This window comes from Homo sapiens, chromosome X (genome assembly GCF_000001405.40).
Source record: "Homo sapiens chromosome X, GRCh38.p14 Primary Assembly".
NCBI lineage: Eukaryota > Metazoa > Chordata > Mammalia > Primates > Hominidae > Homo > Homo sapiens.
The window spans coordinates 113,945,399-113,970,788 of record NC_000023.11 but is presented as its reverse complement, the minus strand read 5'-3'; the positions used below and the strand labels follow the sequence as shown (position 1 = coordinate 113,970,788).

At 36.1% G+C, this 25,390-nt stretch overlaps 1 long non-coding RNA gene and 1 pseudogene across 1 annotated transcript in view, besides 1 other annotated feature; one reads left to right on the top strand and one right to left on the bottom strand.

Moving 5' to 3' along the window:
• Positions 1–7,044: 7,044 nt before the first annotated feature.
• LOC124905236 (uncharacterized) overlaps positions 7,045–25,390 on the top strand; it is a 36,671-nt gene continuing 18,325 nt past the window's right edge. The window contains exon 1 of the long non-coding RNA XR_007068366.1: positions 7,045–7,236. This is a non-coding gene — a long non-coding RNA (uncharacterized LOC124905236). The remainder of the gene's footprint in view (positions 7,237–25,390) is intronic.
• Positions 10,050–10,868: an enhancer, noted in NCBI's record as "OCT4-NANOG-H3K27ac-H3K4me1 hESC enhancer chrX:113203206-113204024 (GRCh37/hg19 assembly coordinates)". NCBI's record gives its function as "activates a minimal SCP1, AML or CMV promoter by ChIP-STARR-seq in primed H9 embryonic stem cells {active_cell/tissue: H9 hESC(primed)}" and the evidence as "EXISTENCE:reporter gene assay evidence [ECO:0000049][PMID:30033119]".
• On the bottom strand, positions 20,707–20,872 carry RNU1-57P (RNA, U1 small nuclear 57, pseudogene; annotated as a pseudogene).

The window sequence follows — 25,390 nt, the reverse complement described above, 5'->3', positions numbered from 1 at the left end:
AGGCCATAAAACAAGTCTCAGCAAATTTAAAAGTATTGAAATAATGCAAAGTATGTTCTCTAGCTAAAATAGAATGAAATTTAGAAATCAACAACAGAAGGACATTTGGGAAATTCACAAGTATGTGAAAATTAAACAACACACTCCTAAATAACCAACGGGAAAGCAAGAAATCACAGGAAATTAGGAAATAATTTGAGTAGAAGGAAATGAAAACATAGCATACTATGCACACAGCTAAAGCAGTGCTTACAGTGAAATCTGTAGCTATTAAATGCCTATATTAAAAAAGCGAGCTCTCATATCAATTAACACTTCACCTTAAAAAATTAGGAAAAGAAGAACATGCTAAATACAAAACAAGCAAAAGGAAGTAAGTGAAAAGATTAGAACAGAAAAACAAAAGTTAAGAGTAGAAAAAAGAGAAATCAGTGTAACTGCAAGTTGATTCTTTGAAAAGATAAAGGAAATTAAAAACTAACATGTAAAAGGCAACTCAAATTACTAAAATGAGGAATGTAAGAGAAGATGTCATTAGTAACATGACAGAAAAAAATTATAATAAAAGAATACTAGGAACAATTATACACCAAAAAATTAGATACCCTGGATAAAATGGATACATTTTCAGAAAGATGCGAACTTCTGAAACTGATTCAGAAAGAAATAAAAAATCTGAATAGGCTTATAAGAAGTAAAGAGATGGAATTAGTAACAAAAACACTTCTCACAAAAAAAATCCAGGTCCAGCTGGCTTCACTGATGAATTTGAGCAAACATTACCAAAAAGAATGAACAGAAATCCTCACATGTTTTTATAAGTAATAGAGGAAAAAGAACCCTTTCTAACTCATTCTATGTGGCCAATATTACTCTGATACCAAAACCAGAAAAAATATCACAAGAAAAGTACAGGCTAATATACCTTAAGGCTGTAAATGCAAATATAGTCAACAAAATACTAGCAACCAAATCAGGCAACATATAAAAAGGATTATATATCATGACTCAGTGAGATTTATTCCAGGAATTTGGGATTGACTAAAATCAAACAGTGTTGTACAACCATATTGATACAATAAAGGACAAAAACTACATACTGTTTTTCAGAAGACACCAAAAAGGCCTGTGAAAAATTTAATGACATTTCATAATAAAAATACTCAACAAATAAGTCGTAAAAGGAAACCTCCTCAACCTTATAAAGGCTATCTACAAATAACCTATCATTAAATTGTGAATGATTAAAAAGAAATAAAGATGTTGTTCTCACTAGCAACTAGGTAAGTCTTTGCTATTGTGAATAATGCCGCAATAAACATGTGTACATGTGTCTTTATAGTAGCATGATTTAGAATCCTCTGGGTATATACCCAGTAATGGGATCGCTGGGTCAAATGGTATTTCTAGTTCTAGATCCTTGAGGAATTGCCACACTGTCTTCCACAATGGTTGAACTAATTTACTCTCCCACCAGCAGTGTAAAAGCGTTCCTATTTCTCCACATCCTCTCCAGCATCTGTTGTTCGCTGACTTTTTAATGATCGCCATTCTAACTGGCATGAGATGGTATCTCATTGTGGTTTTGATTTGCATTTCTCTGATGACCAGTGATGATGAGCATTTTTTCATGTGCCTGTTGGTTGCATACATGTCTTCTTTTGAGAAGTGTCTGTTCATATCCTTTGCCCACTTTTTGATGGGGTTGTTTGTTTTTTTCTTGTAAATTTGTTTAAATTCTTTGTAGATTCTGGATATTAGCTCTTTGTCAGATGGGTAGGTTGCAAAAATGTTCTCCCATTCTGTAGGTTGCCTGTTCACTCTGATGGTAGTTTCTTTTGCTGTGCAGAAGCTCTTTAGTTTAATTAGATCCCATTTGTCTATTTTGGCTTTTGTTGCCATTGCTTTTGGTGTTTTAGTCACAAAGTCCTTGCCCATGCCTATGTTCTGAATGGTATTGCCTAGGTTTTCTTCTAGGGTTTTTATGGTTTTAGGTCTAACATTTAAGTCTTTAATCCATCTTGAATTAATTTTTGTATAAGGTGTGAGGAAGGGATCCAGTTTCAGCTTTCTACATATGGCTAGCCAGTTTTCCCAGCACCATTTATTAAATAGGGAATCCTTTCCCCATTTCTTGTTTTTGTCAGGTTTGTCAAAGATCAGATGGTTGTAGATGTGTGGTGTTATTTCTCAGGGCTCTGTTCTGTACCATTAATCTATATATCTACTTTGGTACCAGTACCTTGCTGTTTTGGTTACTGTAGCCTTGTAGTATAGTTGGAAGTCAGGTAGCATGATGCCTCCAGCTTTGTTCTTTTGGCTTAGGATTGTCTTGGCAATGCAGGCTCTTTTTTGGTTCCATATGAAGTTTAAAGTAGTTTTTTCCATTTCTATGAAGAAAGTCATTGGTAGCTTCACGGGGATGGCATTGAATCTATAAAGTACCTTGGGCAGTATGGCCATTTTCATGATATTGATTCTTCGTATCCATGAGCATGGAATGTTCTTCCATTTGTGTCCTCTTTTATTTCTTTGAGCAGTGGTTTGTAGTTCTTGAAGAGGTCCTTCACATCCCTTCTAAGTTGGATTCCTAGGTATTTTATTTTCTTTGTAGTAATTGTAAATGGGAGTTCACTCATGATTTGGCTCTCTGTTTGTTTGTTGTTGGTGTATAGGAATGCTTGTGAGTTTTGCGCATTGATTTTGTATCCTGAGACTTTGCTGAAGTTGCTTATCAGCTTAAGGAGATTTGGGGCTGAGACGATGGGGTTTTCTAGATATACAATTATGTCATCTGCAAACAGGGACAATTTGACTTCCTCTTTTCCTAATTGAATACCCTTTATTTCTTTTTCCTGCCTGATTGCCCTGGCCAGAACTTCCAACACTATATTGAACAGGAATGTGAGAGAGGGCATCCTTGTCTTGTGCCGGTTTTGAAAGAAAATGTAAGTGAAAATCTTCCTGGAATTTGGCAATGGATTCTTAGAAATGACACCAAAAGTATAAGTAACAAAAGAAAAAAAATGATAAGTTAGAGTTTATCAAAATCAAAAACTTTTATGCTTCAAAGGACCCCATCAAAAATGTGAAAAGACCACCCACAGAATGGGAGAAAATGTTTGTCAGTTATATATTTGATAAGGGATCTGTATCCAGAATATATAGTAAACTCTTACAAATCAAAAACAAAAAGGCAGATGACCTGATTTACAAATGGTCAAGGTTTTGCTAACTGCAAATGGAGTCTAGCTGCAAATAGAGTGCAGCTCACATGTGTTAGGCCATATTTTCTAAGGTCTCAGTTCTCAGCTAACTGTTTATGTTCGAAGCCCAAATGGACGATTAAAAGAGATAGTAAAAAAGGAAAACAAAAGCAGCCATGGGAATGGTGCCAAAAGTTGGAAAAATGTGGGAGGGTAAATTGATGGGAAGAGTAAAGTCGACTTCTAGATCCTTTGTTGCTGCTGTCTCTGAGCTGATAAGCAAGTGTTGTAAAGAAGGCTGCTATTAGGTGGGTGATATAGTTTGGATATTTGTTCCTTCCAAATCTCATGTTTGAAGTAGGGCGTAAAAGAAGGGTTTGGGTCATGGGGGCAGATCCCTCATAAATGGCTTGGTGCTGTCCTTGGAGTAATGAAGTAATGAATTTCTGCTCTAATAGTTCACACAAGAACTGGTTGTTTAAAAATATGGCACCCCTCTCTCTCCTCTCTTTCTTGCCTCCTCTTCTCTCACCATGTGACACCACTGCTCCCCTTCACCTTCTGTCATGATCGGAAGCTTCCTAAAGCCCTCAGCAGAAACAGATGGTTGCATCATGCTTCTTGTACAGCCTGAAGGAACGTGAGCCAAATACATCTCTTTTCTTTGTGAATTATCCAGTCTCAGGTATTCCTTTATAGCAGTGCAGTAGTCTTAATGCAGTGGGAAAAGGCAGGCAGGAAAATCTTTGTCTTTGTAAATTGCTGTCCTGCCATCAGACAAGTAGAGGAAAAGCAAAGAGAGTCCCTCTGGATTATACCTGTCTTCAGCTCAACAATCTCCAGTATTTTAGAGAGGGATATTTTGGTTTTCTTCAGTAGAAAGGATTACAAATGTATGCCCTCAAAGGTCAAGAGTCACACAAATAATTTAAAACAAGTAATTCAAATTAATTTTTTATAAATATTTATCTCTTAAGCTAAAGTTACCCACTGAGGAAAGGAATTTTGTGCTGGTCTAAAGGACTTTAACTCTGTTTCAAATCTGATCTCAGCTGGAATGTTGCTTAGCTAATTCCCTGGATGTTAACATTTCATGGACATGGTAAGATTTATATCTCCAAGGGACCGAGAGGGCTCTGTATTAAAAAACAAATGAACAAACAAAACTTTGAAATCCCTTAACTTTGGGGCAAAAGAACTCTCTTTCATGCACATTTTAGTTTAAAACTAAGAAGCATTGGTCACAAATAAGACAAAAACAAGTCTGAATTAAAAACAATACAAAGCAACAGCCATTTGAAAAGAATGCTATGTGATTTAGGCCAAAAAAGTAAAACCAGTGGTGTCATTGGACTGCTAATACCATGACCTGGACCACTAGCTGTGAAGCAGGGGTAGAGCAGGCAGGTTTCTTCCCTTCCCTTCCCTTCCCTTCCTTTCTTTCCTCCCTTCCTCCCTTCCCTTCCCTTCCCTTTTCTTCTCTTTTCTTCTCTTTTTCTTTTCCTCTTCTTTTTAAATCTCCCTAAAATGTGAATCTCTTGTCCGGAGGAAAATATGGAACCTCTTTTCTAGAAAGAGAGAGTTGAAATAAGCAGACCGAATAACGTCTAGACCTCAGCCAAGAAGAAAGGAGGGCTACGAGCAGCAGCTCATGTCTGTAATCCCAGCACTTCGGGAGGTTGAGGAAGGAGAATCACTTGAGCCCAGGAGTTTGAAACCAGCCTGGAAAACATAGTGAGACCCTATCTCTACAAAAATTAAAAAAAATTAAAAAAAAAAAAAAAAGGCCAGGCATGGTGGCACATGCCTCTGGTCCCAGCTACTCAGGAGGCTGAGGTGAGAGGTTCGCTTGAGCCCAGGAGGAAGAGGCTGCAGTGAGCTGAGATCGCACCATTGCACTCCAGCCTGGGTGACAGAGTGAGACCCTGTCTCAATTTAAAAAAAAAAAAGAAAAGAAAAAAAAAAGAAAGAAAGACACTGTGGCAAATTAATATAGAGATTTTATTTGGCCTCAAGTTGAGGACGGTAGCCCGGGAAACACTGGGAAGTGGTCCAGAGAACAAAGGGAAGGTTCAAGTTTTTAAAGATAAAAGGATGAATCGGAAGAGGAGGCAATCACAAAAGTTGTTTTTCTAGAATTGTCATTGGTTTACAGAAATAACATTTATTTGTGATTGCCTATGCACTGTTGAACCGCAGGGTATGAATTACGGTGTCCAGCCTGGGTCATTGTTAGGTTAATTTATAAGGTATTTGCAGCAAAACTCACTCTAGTGTCCATGTAGCAGTTGGCTTTGAAATGATTACTTAGCTTAAGTGGTGGGGGAGCTAAGGCAGGGGGCGATGTAAGACATTATTGCTGTGACATTTCAATGGCTTTCTGGGTCTGATAAGTAAAAGGGGCTCACATTCCTCAGCGAAAAAGTTTCTTTTCTTTCTCATGCTAATGAGATATAGTATTTCAGTTAAATATTGGAACACCTATCTGAGAAACAAAGCTGTCATGGAATTCTAAAGAATTTCAGGAACATGAAAAGGTTGAAATCACAAGAAAACACATGAGTACTAAATATACTTACGAATGCTGAAAGAAGCCATGCCTGTATAAGCCAACTGTCAGGCCTGGTTTCTTTTATTCAAATTTTGATATAGTCATGTAATAATAACAAAAATAATAGGTGACATTTATTGAATGCTTACTATATAACATCAAATAAATAAGGAACAAGTATCATCATTTTATAGATGTGGAAACTGGAATTTAAAGTGGCCTCATGCCACTTAGGTAAGGCTAAAGTCACTTTGATTAGCAAGTGGCAGAATTGAGATTATCTGAAATTTTCCACATCTGACACATTCCAATCCTTTTAAACTTGGTTTTTGGTGACTAGTTTATAAAGCAAGTATTCCTTTAATAAAGTAGAAAAGTAAAGTATAATAAAATAGCATACTTTTTCTGGCTCTTGAACTGAACAAAGATATTGCATAAAATTTGATATTTATTCTTTTTTTTTTTTAAAAAAACAGAAATTTAACAACTGCAATCATCTTTCAATCTCAATTTTCCAAGGGGATCAGGTTTAAGAAGAAAATTACTTAGTATTTGTGAATACAATCATTTCGGTTCTTTTCTCTCTCTTTTTTTTTTTTTTTTGAGACAGGGTCTCTCCCTGTTGCCCAGGCATGAACATGGCTCACTGCAGCCTTGACCTCCTGGGTTCAAGTGATCCTGCCTCTTCAATCTCCTGAGTAGCTAGGACCACAGGTGCAGGCAACCATGCCTGACTAATTTTTTATTTTTTTAAAATTTTTGGTAGAGACTGGATCTTGCCGTGTTGTGCAGGCTGGTCTTGAAACCCTGGGCTCAAGCAATCCTTCCTCCTCAGCCTCCCAAAAGTGTTGGGATTATAGGCATAAGCCACCACATCTGTCCTTGGTTATTTCCAAATCCCCAAACAAAATGTGTTAAATTTGTATAAATACCTCTTTCAAATATGAATAAAATACTGAGTTTGATGAATTGGGTGCATAGACCAATGGTCTACTGCATTCCCAAGTTAAAAGCTAATGTTGATATGGTGCTAGTTCTGTGACAGTTTGTGATAAATAAGTATACATGAATATTTATGGATTCCAGATAAATCAGGTGTGTGTTAATTTTTGCAATGATATGATCAGCAATATGATGAAAAATGGTGAAAGTTACTGACTATAATGATCATTTAGCTTGTTGACAACATTCATAGTCCCATATTTGTAAGTTATAAAATTTGGCTGAACAAACAACCTAAAACAACTTAAAATTTTTTAAATAATGTACTCGTTATATTATCCCAATATCTACTATGAAAGTACATTTTTAGTGCAAGATATAAACACTTCATAGTCAAAAGAGGTGGAATATATTAAAGTAACCACATTCTGCAATTCCCCAAATAGGTAACATGTATACTTGGTAAACAGACAAAATTTTCTGCTTTCAGATGGTGTCCGGAATTTCAAATAATACTGAGTTATGGGAATTGCCACAGTAAGTAAAGATCTACAGTCGGGGAAAAGGATTTATAAGGCGTATGTTTTATAGCTCCTGTATGAGTAGGCTTTTGATGCATCATATACATGCTTTGAAGGTAGTATTATGCAGGGTACTAAATTGAGTTATACTTACAGTCAATGAATATCATTTGACCAATGACATTTTAGAAAAATATCTATATAATTTTCCAAGGCCATGTCTTAGAAATTTTGCTCTGAGTCTTATATCTGAACATCTCAGAGAATTTTTAGAGAAAACAATTTCACAGATAATGATAATTAGATACCTTCACTTTGCAAATATATGAACTGCCTTTTGAATGGCCCTTTTAGTAAAATGAGATTGATTACGTCCTCTTCATAGCAGAGATTTTACCACAAAACATCAATCTATTATGAAAAGTACATACGTGTAACCTGGTATCCTTGCTTGGCAGGGTGATGTTACATTTAGGTACATGAACTACCTACTGTGATAAGCTCCCTATCTCTTCAAATATTAACTCTCCTGCTCATTCCTGTCTGATGCCTGAAATTCCTTTAATATTACAAAAAGCTTAATCAATTTATTAATAATCCTACATTTTCTTGCATTATTGCTGCCCAGTGATCTGGATTGTTTGTGGTTGTTGATTGGAAAACTAAAAAGTCTTAGAAAATATCATTCTAATGTTATTGTATCACAGTGAATTACCCACATACAAGCACAAAGTAAAGCTGTAAAGCAATTAATTCAGTTCTTCAAATAAACCAAAAAAAGAAGACAGTGAATGATAACTATCAGTTTCTTTCTTAATTTGATGGATGAATTTATTCACTCTCCATTTTTCTCTCCCAGCCTATTTGTGGTTTTGTAGCAAAAAGATTTCTACATGGCTTTTTCTGTAATTATTTTGTGAAAACCCACAATATAAAAGAAACTGACTTATTTTAAGAATAATGGAACTTCCTCTTTTCAGAAGGGTCTGAAGCAATTTTTCTCTTTAAGCAAAACCTCTGTTCTATGGTTCACGTTCAGATGTGGCCTTCATTCAAACATACTTCCCTTCTTAGCTGCTGATGAAAGCATGTGGCAACATTTCTGCCTTGGCAAATTTAAATCATCTCCCTTAAGGTGAGGGTAGGTAAATACCTTAGCAAGTTATCTCTTTTATACAAACAGACTTATTTTGGCACAGTGTATAATTGTATACATACAATTGTATAAATACTATTTTAAAATGCTAGATTTTTTTCCCCATGCACACTGAATTGAATTCATTGTAACGTGAAAATGACTGACATGTAATTCTTTTCTCAGAGCAACATTAACCATAAAAATGGAGACAGAGCAACAAACTCCTGGGTGACTACAAGTCAGGAAAGGGAAAAACACCGTAGGGGTAGAATTTACAGAAGTCTTATTTTAAATACAATTTTGCCTCAAAAGATGGGCCATAGAAGGGAGGTGTGTATTCCACTCTCCTTGTAAAATATGAGTTTTTAAATCTATAAGTAGGAAGAGATGTACAACACATACTAATGAAGAAATCTGTTGCCACGTTTTAAGTATTAAAAAAAAGGCATGTCTATATCTGGTGGGATTTTTTTTTAATGACTTAATTTATTCCTACTGCAATAAATTAGGCTATTCAAGCAATCCAGGGTCCATCCATCTATTAATAGTATCAAGCTTTTAAAATGTAAAGCTTTTAGTTTTGCTGCTTCTAAAATCATATAGTGCTTTCATTCTAATTTATGTTGATTCAGTTCAAATAATAGAAATTTTGAATGACATCATGGCTATTTTGACACGTATACAGACTATAGTAAAGTGGTTTTGGACGTGTGTTCAGAATTCTATAAGCAGGGGAAAAATAAAAATAATGGATTCCTAATTTACAATGGTTGCTCTTTGCAATAAATAATGTTATAAGCAATTATTTTATAAGATCCTTATGTAATCAGTAAAATATGCAATAAAATTATAAAGATGCTGAACCTCCTATCAAGTTTAGTTATCATATCAAAATTCTTGCAAAAAGATGCTACATTTCATTTATTTAGAAAAAAAAGAACAATGATATTGTCAAGATAGATAATTTTGAATTCTGATTTACAAACATTCAGTGAGTTCCTAAAGCTATGTATTCCAATAGGGTACAGATATTTGAACTGAAAGTGAATATTTCTCTTGATCCCAAAAAGCGTGGGGTGTCTTAACCACCCTGAGAGTTTTCTACATAGTACTCAAATTGATTGACAGGTTTGTAGATCAACAATGTCTTTCTTTCTTTTTTTTTTTTTTTTTTTTTTTTTGACATGGAGTCTCGCTCTGTCGCCCAGGCTGGAGTGCAGTGGCACGATCTTGGCTGACTGCAGGCTCCACCTCCCGGGTTCACGCCATTCTCCTGCCTCAGCCTCCCGAGTAGCTGGGACCACAGGCGTCTGCCACCACGCCCGGCTAATTCTTTTGTATTTTTTAGTAGAGATGGGGTTTCACCGTGTTAGCCAGGATGGTCTCGATCTCCTGACCTCGTGATCCACCAGCCTCGGCCTCCCAAAGTGCCGGGATTACAGGCGTGAGCCCCCGCGCCCGGCTGATGTTTTTCTTTTAGCTTTACGTTATTTCTCTTCGAAGGTTATCTCAGCCCCAGAGATTCACTGACACTTGGGGGAATGGTAGTTTTAATTATTGATTTTTGAACAGTTTAACTTTGTGATCACTACCTCTTGATACGTGCTCAAGGTGGGGTTGGCCTTAGACTCCAATATAATAGCTAGTTGGGATATGAAGATCAGAGTCTCCTAATCTCTGTCTGCATCCCTTCCTTCCCTGAGACTCTTTATGGTGCAATGCCCACCAATAAGGATTTCTCCTTTATAAGCAGTGTCTTTCAAAGTTTCTCTCAGAGAGGTAACAAATTAGGATCTGACACATTATTGTGAAATAATTTATCAAATCTCTTTCCTTCATTGCTGGGAGGGAAGATCCCAACCATCAAGAATACACTGGACACCTTAGGCTGAGGCATTACACAGGGGCCAAAGAACACTCAAAGGGAGGCAGGGGAACTCAAAGGATCAACACTGCATCCTTCATAGTTTGGCTAAGGGCTGACTCACCTCTGAACAAAAGTAACCTCCCAAATCAACAGCTGCATCCGTAGGGTGCATATCTGAAGGACAATTGTTTCAGGCTGGAATGTACAACACTAAATAGCTTATTTTCCCTTCCTCTTTTTCCATTGAGGTTATAAAATCCTAAATCCAAATTCCAAGACAAAGGTCCTTAATAAGAGGAAATTCCTCTGGCATTGAATAGGGAAGATTAGCAATGGCTGTTATCCCGTTTTATAATCATGTAGCTACTTATAACAAAATGAAAGAAGACCCCCTGCCTTGCTCACTTTGTAAACACATGGGAAAGAATGGGATCACATGCCCAGGCAGGTCTGCGTGTGCTTGAAGGGTATTGCAAGGTCCTGCACCCCCACCACTGATTTGGCTTGGCATTTGCACCATTCAAGTCACTCTAGATCTCTTTTAACAAATGGAAGAAAAGACTGAGGACCTAGGAGCCCCCAGGGTTATTCACTCCCGGTTCCAAGGTAGCTCTATGACATCAATGAATGCTTTACTAAAAGGAATAACAGAAAGATATTATTTATTGAATGTTCATTATATGCCTGGCACTTTACATTTATCTGAGTTAATTTTGGCCACAATTCTGGTAGTTATGCTTATTATCTTCATTTTGCAGATGCAGAAATAGGCAAGGAAAAGCTATATAACTCCCTTAAGGTAACACAGCTAGTAAGCAGCTGAAAAGGGATTTGGACTCTAGCAGTGTACCCACATTGTCCACACTTTTTGCCATTATAGTAAGTTGTCAGTAGATGAACACAACTCAGTGAAGTGGAGGTGGCTATTGATGCAATTGAGCAGTTTATTGAGAAGTAAAACTTCTAATTGGATACAGCACTTGCATCGCCAGTGTCAAAACATTGTAAAGGAAAGATGAAAAATGTCATCAATAGTTCAGCACTTTGGAAGCATTTGTATATTTGGCATCACAGAGACAAAATATCCAGATGGGAGATTGAATATTTTATTTTGCATCTGGGTGTTCTGGCAAAATAGAAAGCAAGAAAAGTGATTTCTATTTGGTTATTTTTAATTTGTGGTGATATCAGCACCCTACAAACTGAAGGAGAGAAACTCAATGGTAGTGGTCCTACTATATCTGTTTTGTGCTGAAATGCACTTGCAACTGGAATTGTTTGCTTTAATATATTTCAGTGGGGTGTCACCAGGGGCAGCCTCAGCAAAATTGTAAGAGTTAGACTCATCTTTGATGTTCTTCTGCATCTTCAGGGATGCACTACCCTTTTGTCCCTACCAGGTGAAAACTGACTTCATGCTTTATATATTCCCCATTCCCAGCATGCTCTTATAAATAAGCCATTTGTAATAACATATAAAAGGCGTCAAAATTTTAAGTAACTGTGGGACAGAAGTGATGGTAGAATTTTAGGTACCTGTCATAGGTGACAAATTTGTGAGGAGAGAGGACTTCTGAGCCCCTTACATGCCCTCTAAATTACCACCAAATTATATGATTTCCAGACTTATAAGTCTTAAAACCCTTGTACAGGAAAATCACAGTGATAAAATAAAATCAAAGACTGATTAATTACTAATTATGTAACTTACAAGAATGGGGACACAAAGACTACACATGGTAATGGTTTAGATTAGAAGTATTTCTTTGAGAATAATCAGAAAGCTAAATACTTTAACTATGCCACTTTCTTCCAAAGGCAGTAATTCAAGACCCTCTGTAAAGGCTATGGCAATGCCAGTTACTATAAAGCATAATCTGTTTCTCTCTCTTGTTCTCTTTCAATTGTCCTAGAAATACAACTACTCAACCCTGTCATAGCATGGAAACTCTTATAGACGATATGCAAACAAATGAGTAGAGTTGTTTTTCAAAAAAACTTTATTTACAAAAACAGAAAGTCAGTCTACTGCCATAGACTGCTGTCCCTTTCTCTACAAGTGTTATTTTAGATTGTATATTTGAGTCCAGTGACCCGTTTTGAATTAAATTTTATATATGGCGCAAGGTATGTATCACAGTTTATTTTCTTGCATATTGATATCACATTGTGCAGTAACATTTGTTGAAAAGACTATCCTTTTCCCATTGACTTGCCTGTGTACCTTTGTCAAAAATCAGTTGTCCATGCACTTGTGGATCTCTTTCTGAACTTGCTACTCTGTTCTGTTGATTTACTTGCCTATTTTTAGGCTACAATTACACTGCTCTGTAAGTATATAATGAATCTCAAAATAAGATAGTGTTAGCTCTCCAAGTTTGTTCATTAACTCCTGGCTACTTTTAAGATTTTTCTCTTCATTGCTGGTTTTAAGCAATTTGATTTTGATGTGCTTTGTTATACTTTTCTCATGTTGTCGTGCTTGAGGTTCATTGAACTTTTACAGGACTAACAATAATGTTCAACTCAGTGGTGCCCCATTAACCTCAGTATCTGAATGGTATTATGAGTACAGGCTCGCCTTGCCACAGTGGACAGGTAGTATGAGCAAGCCATAAATCTTTGTTGCTTCAGCAATTGAGATTTGGGGGTTGCTTGTTATAATAACACAAATTAGACTATCCTGACTGATACTGGGGAATTATGGAAGATTTCGCTTTTCTTATTTATATATTTATATATTTCCGTCCAAAATTTACACAATGAGCTTTACTCTTATGATATAAACACTAATTAATATTAACATATTTCATTGAATGAAAGGTGACATCAATTGTAAGACACACCATTATTTTATGTATCCCTAAGAAAGAACAAATATTTTAAATTATACTATGACTCAGATAGTTCTATGTGTTATTTGAATTGGTCCACCAGTCTCTTGTTGCTTTGAGATTTCTTTTATCAGATCCCAAAGACTTGGCGATTTCTTCTGTCTTCTGCCTTTAGTTGCGCTACTAGTTGTATGGTAAATAATCATTTTCCACATATATGTGTAAGAATTTAATGGTATATAATGCAGGTTCAAGTACATGTAGGTATCTTTTACTTTTTAGTTTTTATAAAATATTTGGTTTATTCTTTGCCAGAAAATCAGAAATTAGAGTCTTTTCTCCACTAATCACTAATATAATTGTATTACCGTTCTATTGCTGCTGTAACAAATTACTACCAAATCAGTGCCCTGAAACAACACAAACTTCACTGTCTTATAGTTATGGAAGTCAGAAGTCCTAAATGTGTCCCAAAGGTCTAAAATAAAGTTGTCAGCAGAGCCGCATTCCTTCGCGAGGCTCTATGATAGAATCCGTTTCCCTGCCTTTTCCGGCTTCTAGAGGCTGTCCACATTCCTTGGCTCATTCAAAACCAGCAATGGAACCAGCTGGTTCCATTCAAAACCAGCAATGTCAGGCCATGTATTCACACTGCCATCTCTCTGATTCTCTCTTTTGTAGTCACATCTCCCTCGACTCTGACTCCTCCCCTGCTTCCCTCTCCCACTTTTAAAGACTCTGGTGATGTGATTGCATTGGACCCACCCAAACAATCCAGGAAAATCTCCCTATTTTAAAGCCATTTGATTAGCAATTTTAATTCTCCTTCCCCAGGTAAGGTAACATATTCACAGGTTCCCAGGATGGCTATGTGGACATCTTTGAGGGAAGAGGGATATTATGCTGTTTACCACAATCACTAACATCAAACTCATGTACCTGCTCTTTTTCTGCACCGTCCTGTATGTATAACAACTTTTGTTTCAATGAGGAATCACATTATAGTTTCTCTGGAGACATTTTAAACTCAATGCATGTAATATAGTACCTAGAAAGCATATAACACATTGCTGTGATGATCATATAAACAGCGATGAACAAATCTCGCTGTGTAGAAAATGACAAACAAGTCACTCTTAATTGATGAAAAGATGCCATAGAATTTCAGGATGCAGCCCTATTTCAGAGACATTAGCATGTAGAAAAACAATGTAATCTTAAAATAGATGAAATACAGTATATGCAAAAAACTAATCTACAGATCTGCCAGTTAATCATCTAATAGGTGTCTAAAGAATGGAACACATACATGATTCACTTTGATGGGAAAAGGAGAAGAACAAGGGCATGTTCCATGTCAGACAGTGAAAAACAGGCATGAGGACACTATATGTCTATGTCATGAGATACTGAAATGAGCTCTGAGATGACCAGCATATGCATTGACTAGAATATAAGTAATCCCAAGCTTTTTAAAAAAAAAAAACAAAAAAAAAAAAACAAAAACAAAACAGAAGAGTCCAACAAATATTCAGGGAAGTTTTCCATTTTTATAAATAAGATTTTCTACACGTGTATTTATTTTGACATTTTGAGTTGCACAGGAATGAATGTGCTTTGGAGGGTGGCTAATTTTTTAAAAATCATGTGCCATAAATCAGATAATGGTTATAAAATGATTTCACAATCTAAAAAGTCTTGAAGTACACTTTTCAACAAATCATTTTTCTTTCTTTTTTTTTTTTCTTTTTGAGACGGAGTTTCGCTCTTGTTACCCAGGCTGGAGTGCAATGGTGTGATCTCGGCTCACCGCAACCTCTGCCTCCTAGGTTCAAGCGATTCTCCTGCCTCAGCCTTCCTGAGTAGCTGGGATTACAGGCATGCTACACTACGCCCGACTAATTCTGTATTTTTGGTAGAGACAGAGTTTCCCCATTTTGGTCAGGCTGGTCTCGAACTCCTGACCTCAGATAATCCACCCGTCTTGGCCTCCCAAAGTGCTGGGATTACAGGCGTGAGCCACCACACCCGGCCTACAAATCATTTTTCTTAGCTAAATTTCCTTTTTCTTTATATCCATGGCATGGACTCTATGAAACTATCTTGGGATGATAAAAATACCAGGACAGCAAATATAAACAAAACTTTACCATTATGTCCTAAATTTCTGCTTTGAAAAATAGCAAAGCTTTAAGATGCAACTACAGCTAAAACTTCAGTAACTAAGAATAATTTGGAAGAAGGCAATTCTGATATAGTGAAAAGTCTAAATCATATAATTTTGAAAAGAAACGTAGCTGGGTTGCGTTTAAGCAGTGTAGTAAGATGCAGTTTTTAAAAAGAGATAACCAATTATTGGCAATCGGCGGGCCTGCTTTAGTAAAAATAAGGTTGTGATTAAGTTATATTATTATTATATATTATTTTGTCTCATCTAGACTTGTTTTTTCTCAATAGTGATAATTGCTAGAAATAGAAATCATAGGGTCAGACTTAATTTTAGGGGAATGGGGTCAGGGTGGGTGAGTTGGGAGGGAAACAAAATAAAAGGAAGGGGTACAGTGAAAATAAATTGGATAAGGAAGGCAAGGAAGGGGTTCTGGAAAAGTTTATAGTGGCACAAATGTAGAGTGGGATGTAAGTCACATACACACATACACCAAAAAGAAGGAAGGAAGAGTGGAAATACCCAATGGACTGGTGACATGACACATACGCCCTGCTCCCAGATCTGGCACTAGAAATGTTTTCAGTGTTCTCATCTATAAAATGAATGGATTAGAATAGATTATATCTGAGATTTCTTGAAGATCTACTACGCCTTAAGTATTTATCAGTAAATGGAAGTTGCTAAAGTGGTTTTAGAAGAGCTTGAATCAGTGATTTAGGCATTCTTCCTATAGTCCTCATTAAAATATTAATTTGTTTATCATTCCTCTTTTCTAGAGATAGTTAAAAAATAAAACAATATCTCTGGCATGATTTTTTGTTTTTGTTCTTTTGCTTTTGAGATTATTTCTGTGGTATTCTCACAGTTTATTGGAATTTGTAATGACAGATAAACATCAATTGAAGCAATTAAAACTAACACTATTGGGAAACACGACAAAGAAAGACATGAGAATTTCAACCTGCTTTCATTATGGCAAAGCATTAAAATTACTCTATCTAAAAATGATGCAATGCAGTCATTTCGCTGTCAGTCAAAATTTGATCTATGCTTTAAACTGAATGACAGCTAGCATTAAAGGGACAGACATGCTCTGAAATGTGTGTGTGGTAAGGACTTGGAATGGTGGTAAGAAGGAGGAGTAAACTCACAAGAATGAAGTTCAAGTTATTTTTGGTGTGTGCGTGTATGTGACTTACATCCCACTTTTCTACATTTGTGCAACTACAAACTTATGCAGAACTCCTTCCTTGCCTTCCTCACCCAACTTATTTTCATTGTACCCCTTCCTTTTATTTTGTTTCCCTCCCAACTCACCCACCCTGACCCCATTCCCCTAAAATTAAGTCTGACCTTATGATTTCTATTTCTAGCAATTATCACTATTGAGAAAAAACAAGTCTAGATGAGATGAAATAATGCCTATTTTGCCTAAAACTTGCTAAAATTTCAATGAGAATATAAAAATGAGACTAATCTGCCCGTGGCTTTCTCCTAATTTTTTAGGACCACTTTTAATAAAAGCAGCCCACAAACTTTATTTTATGGTTTTACATTTGGATCTTTATTTCTAATAGAGAATTCATTTAAATTGAAGGAAAAACTAAGTCGTTTGCATGCAAATATAGCAATAAGAGGAGATTGCACAAGTAATGAATGTGGTATATTAACCAATCTTTTCGCAATGAGTGACCAGGAATATATTCATTCTGAATGCGTCTCTAATTCATTCTAGTTGTTACCATAAAAGTGCACTAAGATGTGTATATCACTTTAGATTAAATGCAACAATTCACAGTATATTTTTCTCACAATATCATGAATTTTAAGGACTAAAAGGACTGTATCTGCACTGGATATGCTTAAAAACAGTCATATCATGAAATTATAAATTGCTCGTGTGGACCTGGATCTGAAAGCATTCAGAAAATGAAAATTAATGTTCATTAATGATCGATGGTTGTTTTTCTTCATAGAGTTGTCCTTTCTAAAATTGAAATATTACTTACTAGCAATGACTAAAAAAGGTTTGTATTTCTTTGACTTTGAGAACAATGAAATACATCCAGATTATTTTATCAAAAGATGAATGAGCTGCTAACAACAAGATGACAAGTTTGCTGCCAGCCACAATAATCATCTCTTTTTTGGATCAGGCTTTCTGGAACAGAAAGGGTCTTGATATCTACTGTTTCATTTGATTCCCAGCACATCTGGCAAGGAGGTAAAACCTGTGTGTTTATCCTGTTTTACAGCAGGTGACTGAGACTATATAACTTGCCTAAGTTCACTCAGCACACATTGTCCTGTTTGCTAAATCAGTGTTTCTGAAATGCTGGAAGAATACGTGGAAAGTGTTTGCAGTTCGAAAATATAGCCACTTTTTTCAATATTCATTTGTTTTCAGTCTTTATGTTTAATTTATCTTGAAATTACAAATAACATTAAAGGCAATTTAAAATGTTTAAACATCTATCAAAGGGGCATGGCTTATAAAAGGTAGGGAAATAATATGCTAGATAGATATTCCGATAAACTTCAATATTTAAAAATGCTCAGGGAAAAGTACTGTTATATGAAATTGGCAAGGAGATTTTAGTTTTACTTTTTTGGTGCCATTCATTTGTAAACCCTTGTAGGCAGTATTTTTTTTAAATGAGTTACTCTGTTTAAAATACAAACAGCCTCTCATTATTGACGGCAGTCAACTGTATGACATAGTAAAAATACTAACAATAGCTGTCATTTATTTAGTACTTTCTTTGTGTCAAGGATTATTTTAAACACTTTACATATTTACTCATTTAACTCATTAATTCTTCTTAACAACCCTATGTGGTAAGCATTATTATTATTTCATTTTACAGGTATGGAAATTGAGGCACAGAGAATTAACACACTTACTTATGGTCACACAACTAGTAAATGAAACAGTTGAAATTAGGGGATTCGAACCCAGGCAGTCTGGCTCTAGAGCTACAGCTCTTAACCATTATGGATGCTGTCTAAAAAAGGGAGGAGTTTCTAGAGTCTGACTATCTGGACTTCAATCTTGGATTCACCCCTTTCTAGCAATAGTCAAGTTATTTAGGATCTCTAAGCCTCAATTTCCACATCTGTAATATGTCATAATGATATCAACTTAATAGGATTAATGTAAAGAGGAAATTTTTAAAAAATTAATAAAGCATAGCAAGGTACCTGGAAACTAGTTGTTAGTGAATGTTAATTTTCCTTCTTTATTAATGACAATTTGAGTACTGCCTCATCATAATTCTTTTTCTGAACTTTAAGGTTTTCATAGGCTTGTATTTTTAACACTGTTTTACCTATGCCTCTTGTCCCCCCAAAAGCTGCATTCACACCACACCATCTAAAAGTATCTGTGTAGGTGGCAAGACAAAAAGAAAAAAAAAATAACCAAATGATTGATTCTCGAAGCAGCTATTTATTTGCCAGATTATTTGTTTTACCTTGAGTAACTTGAATTTGGACTAAAATTGAAATTGGCCCAATTGTCCCATAGAACTGACGTTTATGGTCTCTTTTGAATAAACATAGAAATTGTCCTCACATTCTTAAAACTTGAGAAAGTTACATTTGTCTTATCTGAGTTCCTTTCTCAGGAAACCAACCATCAGGCCTCCCAGATAGTATCAAAGAATTGAAATTCACCGAATCACCACATCTGGACAATGAGATGCCAGACCCCTAACCCATCATGATTGCCAGCTGACCACCTGTTTCCTGTTGACCAACTCCTCTTCCTCACCCCTCCCTAATTCCTTCTTTCCTGCATGTAGTTACATTTCTTCACTGCTATATAAATTCATGATTTTAGTCGGTCAGGGAGATGGATTTGAGACTGATCTCCCTCCCATCACCTCAGCTGCCCACCCAATTAAGGGCTTCTTCCTTGGCAATACTCATTGTCTCAGTGATTGGTTTTCTTTGTAGCAAGCAGCAGGACCGAGACAGAACTCTTGGCATTTCAGTAAAAAAATTCCTCAAGGGACTGCTAGTTTTGATTTTGCGTGTAGACTAAACTAACACTGTTAAAAGGCACTATGATTAGTGTCCACCTCTGAGAAATAAATGTGTGCACCAAAATTAAGGTTTGCTTAGCAGATTAAAAACATGTATGCAGATTAGAAAAACTTTTAAATTCTAAACCTCTATTCCGTTGACCACTTTGGCTGAACATAATTTCTTGGCATCCAACCACTGACCAACAAATACTACATTTTCAAGAGTAAAAAAGAAATACACGAAATGATTATTAAGCCCCTATTATAGACAAAAAATTACAGAGGCTCCCAAAAGATTCCAGGAGTTTTGTGATTGTTGAGTCAGTTTTCTGAAGTCTGACCATGGTGTGCACTCCAGTAAGCCTAATTTGGAAGAATGACCCAGCAGGATGTTTCTGATTGATTCTGGAAATCTTATCTAAAATCCAATGCTGAGCTAGCTAAAAATCAAAATAAACTCATGTTTAGAGCTCCAGCGAAGTTCAGCTTTGATTAACCTATCCAGATTTGTTATTTAAAAATACCAGAGAGATACCATATTAATTGTAACACATATTCAAGTTTTTACTGTTTTAAAAAATTAATTAAAAAATTATGTAGCAGTGTATAGGTCACTGTAATCATTTGAGATTTAGGACCTTAATCTAATCTTGCCTCCAATTTTTTTTTTTTTTAATTGGTAACACTACTGTGTGACTAATCACTGAATGATGTGTGTTCTGGAAAAGGGTCTTGAAGCAAAGTTACCTTTAATGGGAATGTACCATTCAAATTTATTTGTTTGTTTTTATGAAATGTGCCAGTGAGAAAATGGATGGGTTAGTTCTAAGTAACCTTGCCAAGGCTAACCTTTGAGTTATTATAAAAACTATTCAATTTCTAACTTCCAAATTCCCACTCATTTTTAAACGATTAGATCCTGAAACAGGATAGGAACCCTAGGAAGGCCAGTTGGTTGATTGCTGATTGATTGTTTCGGGGGGCTGTTCTGCAGAGCCTTTAGAAGAGCTGCCTGCTTCTTGATCCTATGCTGTTAGTACAACTCAGGCACCTGACAAATTCCCTTGCCAAGGGAGAATGGCCATTGTTCAGGGAAGGAATTCCCTTCAAGTGTCCTTGAAAGGGCTTTTCTTTTTGGAAAGAGCACCTTGTAAGCCTTCACAGTTTTATGTCTCCTTGGATACTAATTGGTGTGTAAGCCCGATAGGTTTACAAAAGTTAGCTAAAATTTCAAGTTGCTTTTGACATGTTCAAGTACCCAAATGGATAGACATCTCTAGCTGATTTTCTCTTTATATGATTTAGGCTTTGTCTGTATAATCCCAGTTTTATAATGTTGAGCCGAGGTTGAATATAGCCATTTTTGAAATGGACGTTAATCAAATGTTAAAAGAGTTCAGTCACTAGGAAATAAAAGGCCATTTGTTTTGTTTTGTTTTGTTTTTTGAACTGGAGAAAGAGTGAACACAGTTCACCACCACCATAAATTATGCAATCAAGTTTCCCACATTTGGTGAAATCTCAGGGGGTCAGCACATCTGGAATGGAATAGATGAGCCTTGGCGCTGGGAGAACCACCTTCATGATCATGGCACTACCCCTGACATATAAGAATTCATCATTTTTATTTAAGGGTTTCTCTTTAGGGGACAGAAAACAGTTTAAACTTACAAAAGACAAAAACAGGGTTTTTACCTACTCACTACATTGATTAGCACTCCTGTGTACCTATGTGGGCATAGGCCTTTTGGGGATAATGTAAAGAAATTGTACAATTGCTCAAAATAGTGACACTACCTGTGGTGATCTCAGACTCAACTAGAATTAGAACTCAGGAACTAAAATTAGTTCCCAGAAATCTTCCACCACACATCAAAGAGTCACAGCACACGCACAAACACAAACTCACACTTCAGTTGTGAAAACCAACTCATTTCAAAATATAACCTCCATATCTATTTGAATTTTGGTTGAAACAACTTATTTTATTGTTAACTCTCTCCTGCTGGATAGCTTCCCTTCAAGCTTGTCCATCCTTCTCCAAGATGCTGATGGCTTTAATGATTTAGGTTGGTATGCTTGGCTAGATATGTACATGCATAGGAAAAGTTTGTAGAAGTACCCATATACTTTTTCTCTCATCTCAATCTAGAAATACAAAGATTTCTTTGGAAGGATAATTCCCAGAATTACTCAGGAGTATGGAGAAATGTTAGAAATTGCATTAATTTTATAACCACCAGTTAAAGCAACGTTCATAGGTTTCCATAGATTGACAATATTACTAAAAAGCTCAAGTCATAGCATACTCTTCTAAAAAGTAAGAGTCCAAAAATAGGTTAACATTCATTTCATAAAAATAATGAAAAGTAAAATAAAAAATAGATGTTTTAAAAGTAAGAAATAGAAGACTAATAGGTTTATACTAAAAAAAAGCTTCTTATGAGGAAAATAATTTTCTATTAATGTGACTGTCTACTTAAGTTGGACAAGTCTTATTTATTTATTTTTATTATTATTATTTTTTTGAGACGGGGTCTCGCTCTGTTGCCCAGGCTGTAGTGCAGTGGAGTGATCTCAGCTCACTGCATCCTCCGCCTCCTGGGTTTAAGCAATTCTCTGCCTCAGCCTCCCAAGTAGCTGGGATTACAGGTGCCCACCACCGCGCCTGGCTAATTTTTTGGTATTTTTTAGTAGAGACGGGGTTTTACCACCTTGGCCAGGCTGGTCTTGAACTCCTGACCTCATGATCCACCCGCCTCAGCCTCCCAAAGTGCTGGGATTACAGATGTGAGCCACCGCGCCTGGCTCGAGTCTTTTTTATTAGTGGTGCTATGTATGTGTTTTAATAGTTATGTTTATTCATTTGGGCAAATTCACTCATAACTAACAGACATTAAAAAAGTTTGAAAGCTTTTGAAGCTGTGAACCTTCTTTACTGGATCTTCTTGATGGTATACTATAAAACACATCAGAATGGTCACATGTGAACTTATCAAGTGGAAATGTGAAGATTAGGGTAATAGTTCATTTGCTGTTCATGTTACACTTGATGGAAAAATCTTCAAATGACAAGAACAACAGCAATGTCTTGATTCCTTATCAAGAAATCACAATTCAAATCCTTATGAATATATTCACAATGCTGCTTGGAAAAAGAAAAAGAAAAACACCTATAGCCCTCAATATTGAAGACTTGTCACAGAGTTTTGGTCAGGTTTTTAAGGTAGAGAATATTTGAAGTTTGGCCCCTCTGATTATGGTTCAGTTATATATTTTAAAAATATAGCACATAATGATAGGGATTTTAAGTATATTTTGGGGTTGGAGCAGGTCCTCTATATAATTAATGTAATTAATGAATAAGCCTAACTAAAGACTGGAAAAGGACTGACAAAAATGCAGGAAGATAATAGTTACACGTTGGTTAATGAAATCAAGTTATTGGAGCTCTAAGATGAGCCTTAACAGGACTTACACATTTCAAGTCTTATTGGGAAACACTCTTAGAATCCATGTTTGCTAACATCAGTAATTTATGAAATAATGATTATACAGTTTTAAAATGTCTATTTCTAGAATGTAATTTTCAAATTGTTTTTCATAAATCAGAATTATTTTCTTTACTTGTTTTTACATAGTAAGCTATGTATCCCCAAATGCCTAAAAATAAAGCATCTGACTCCCACTTCAGAAGTAGATGGTGATTTTAAAAATCATGTTTTAGGAGGGAGCTTCCAAGATCAGAAGTTTATTTTCTCCTGAATTCTTTGACTTCAATTAAAGGTTAACTGCCACCAGGTGGACAGTGGTAGTTTCACAACAGCTAGGATAGCCTTATGTCTCAGCTTGCCTACAATAGATCTAAATTATGCCTGCTGGTCCACCTTAACTGGTAATAGCACCTACTTTTCACTCTTGAAAGCTTCCAAGTTTGGACAATTAATTTTTTGGTCACTCTATTAACTTCACGGTCAGAGGGCATTGCCAACTCTGGATGAATGAGTTCTTGTTTTTGCTAAAATGGTAACTGAAAGAAAAACCATAACAATCGTCTTAGTCTGCTTGGGCTGCTATAACAAAATACTGTAGATTTGATGGCTTATAAATAAAGTAAATTTATTTCTCACAGTTCTGAAGGCTGGGAAGCCCAAGATCAGGGATCTGGAAGATTGGGTGTATGGAGATGGCCTGCTTTCTGGCTCCTAGATGACATCTTCTAGCTCTGTCCTCACATGGATGGAAGACCAGGGCTATGTTCTGTTCAGCCCCTATTAGAGCGCTAATCCCATTCATAAGAGCGCCACACAGCACATGAATTTTGGGGGAGACACATACATTCAGACCATAGCAGCACTCCTGGTTACATTTTCTTTCACATATAGCATTTTTTCCCTCTGACTTAATAATTGTTATTTTTTGTCTATTAAAAAAAAATCTATGCCTAAGTTTTTCATCATCTCCAACATTTTTAAACCAGTTTAGTAATCTGCAGGTTACAAGTTTTTCTGGAGCCTTTCATCTTGTAGTCTATTCTGGACTTGTTGCACTTTAGCTCTGCTGAGTAACTGCTGATATAGTTTGGATATTTGTCCCTGCCCAAATCTCATGTCGAATTGTAATTCCCAATGTCGAAGGTAAGGCCTGGTGGGAGGTGTTTGGGTCATGAGGGCTGATCCTTCATGTATTGGTGCTGCTCTCACCATAGTGAGTGAGTTCTCATGAGAGACGGTTGTTTAAAAGTGTGTAGCACCTCCCCCAAACAACTCTCCCTCTCTCTTGCTTTGGCTTCTGCTATGTGAAACGCCTGCTCCCCTTTCGCCTTCTGCCATGATTGGAAGCTTCCTGAGGCCTCCCCAGAAACAGATGCTGCTATGCTTCCTATATAGTCTGCAGAACCATGAGCCAATTAAACTTCTTTATGAATTACCCAGTCTCAGGTATTTCTTTATAGCAATGCAAAAATGGACTAACACAGACATCCTGGAATTTCAGTTGGTCATCATTAATGGAATTCCCTTTTTCTCTTTATCTCTCCTTCTCTTTCTAACATTGAATCAATTGCTTTTTATATACTACTTTATTGTTTTTTTCTAGTTTAGGTAGAGTATGTTCTCCAGAAGCTTCCTAGGAAAGGCTATATGAAAGATAAAATACTTGAAGTTTTTAGTGTGTAAAAATATATCTCAATTGATAATTGGATTGCATATGGCATTTTAGATTGCAATCATTAGTCTCAGAATCTTGAGCATTGCCTTCTAGCTTCTAGTGTTGTTATTGAGAAGTCAGAAGCTATTGTAATTCTTCATTCTTTGCATGTTCATGTAACCTATCTATTTTTCTCTTTGGAAACTTTTCTTTGTCTCCAGAGTCCTAAATTTTATAATCATTTGCCTGGGTGTGGATTTTTTTTTTTTTTAACTTTCTTATGTTGTTGTACTAGACAATAGGTCCTTTCAATCAATGGATTGACAGCCTTCTATTCTAGGAAATATTTTTAGATTTTTATTTGATGATTTCCTAATATTTATTCTAATCTATTCTCTTTATTAGTTAAATTGAGCCATTACAGTAGTGAAATATACCTCACCCTCAGTGCAAATATCTTTCAGGGCCCTATTACAAATAATTTCAGAGAGTGAACAGTGCCTGACGTGTATTTAAAGAGTATATCAAAGTGTGTTGAATAAATGACAATTCTCATTACCTAATAGAAAGTATTAAAATGCAGTCTTTGCTTACAGTTAATATTTTCTTCATATGATTTTTCTTTTTACCATGGAACCATCTGTTTCAAAGGAGATGTGACTGGCATACTCCGATAATGTAATTTTATTCTCCCCTCACAAAGTCCCATTCCACCCTACAGCTATTTACTGGAAATTCTTCCTAACATTTAGATTTTCAGGGGTCACTTTTTCACTTCTTTGACTTTTAGGTACTACTGTATTCAATGATGATCTCTCTAGTGGGCCATAACTTTCTGGAAGGCATCCAATTAGTGCTTCTGAAAACAGTCTTAAAGGCTCAGTTTGGATGGCACGCTAAGTGATTACTCTGTCACCTAGAGCTATCTGCCTAGAAAAGGTGATCCATATCTAAGCAGGGCATGAAGGTGAGAGCAGCTATAATC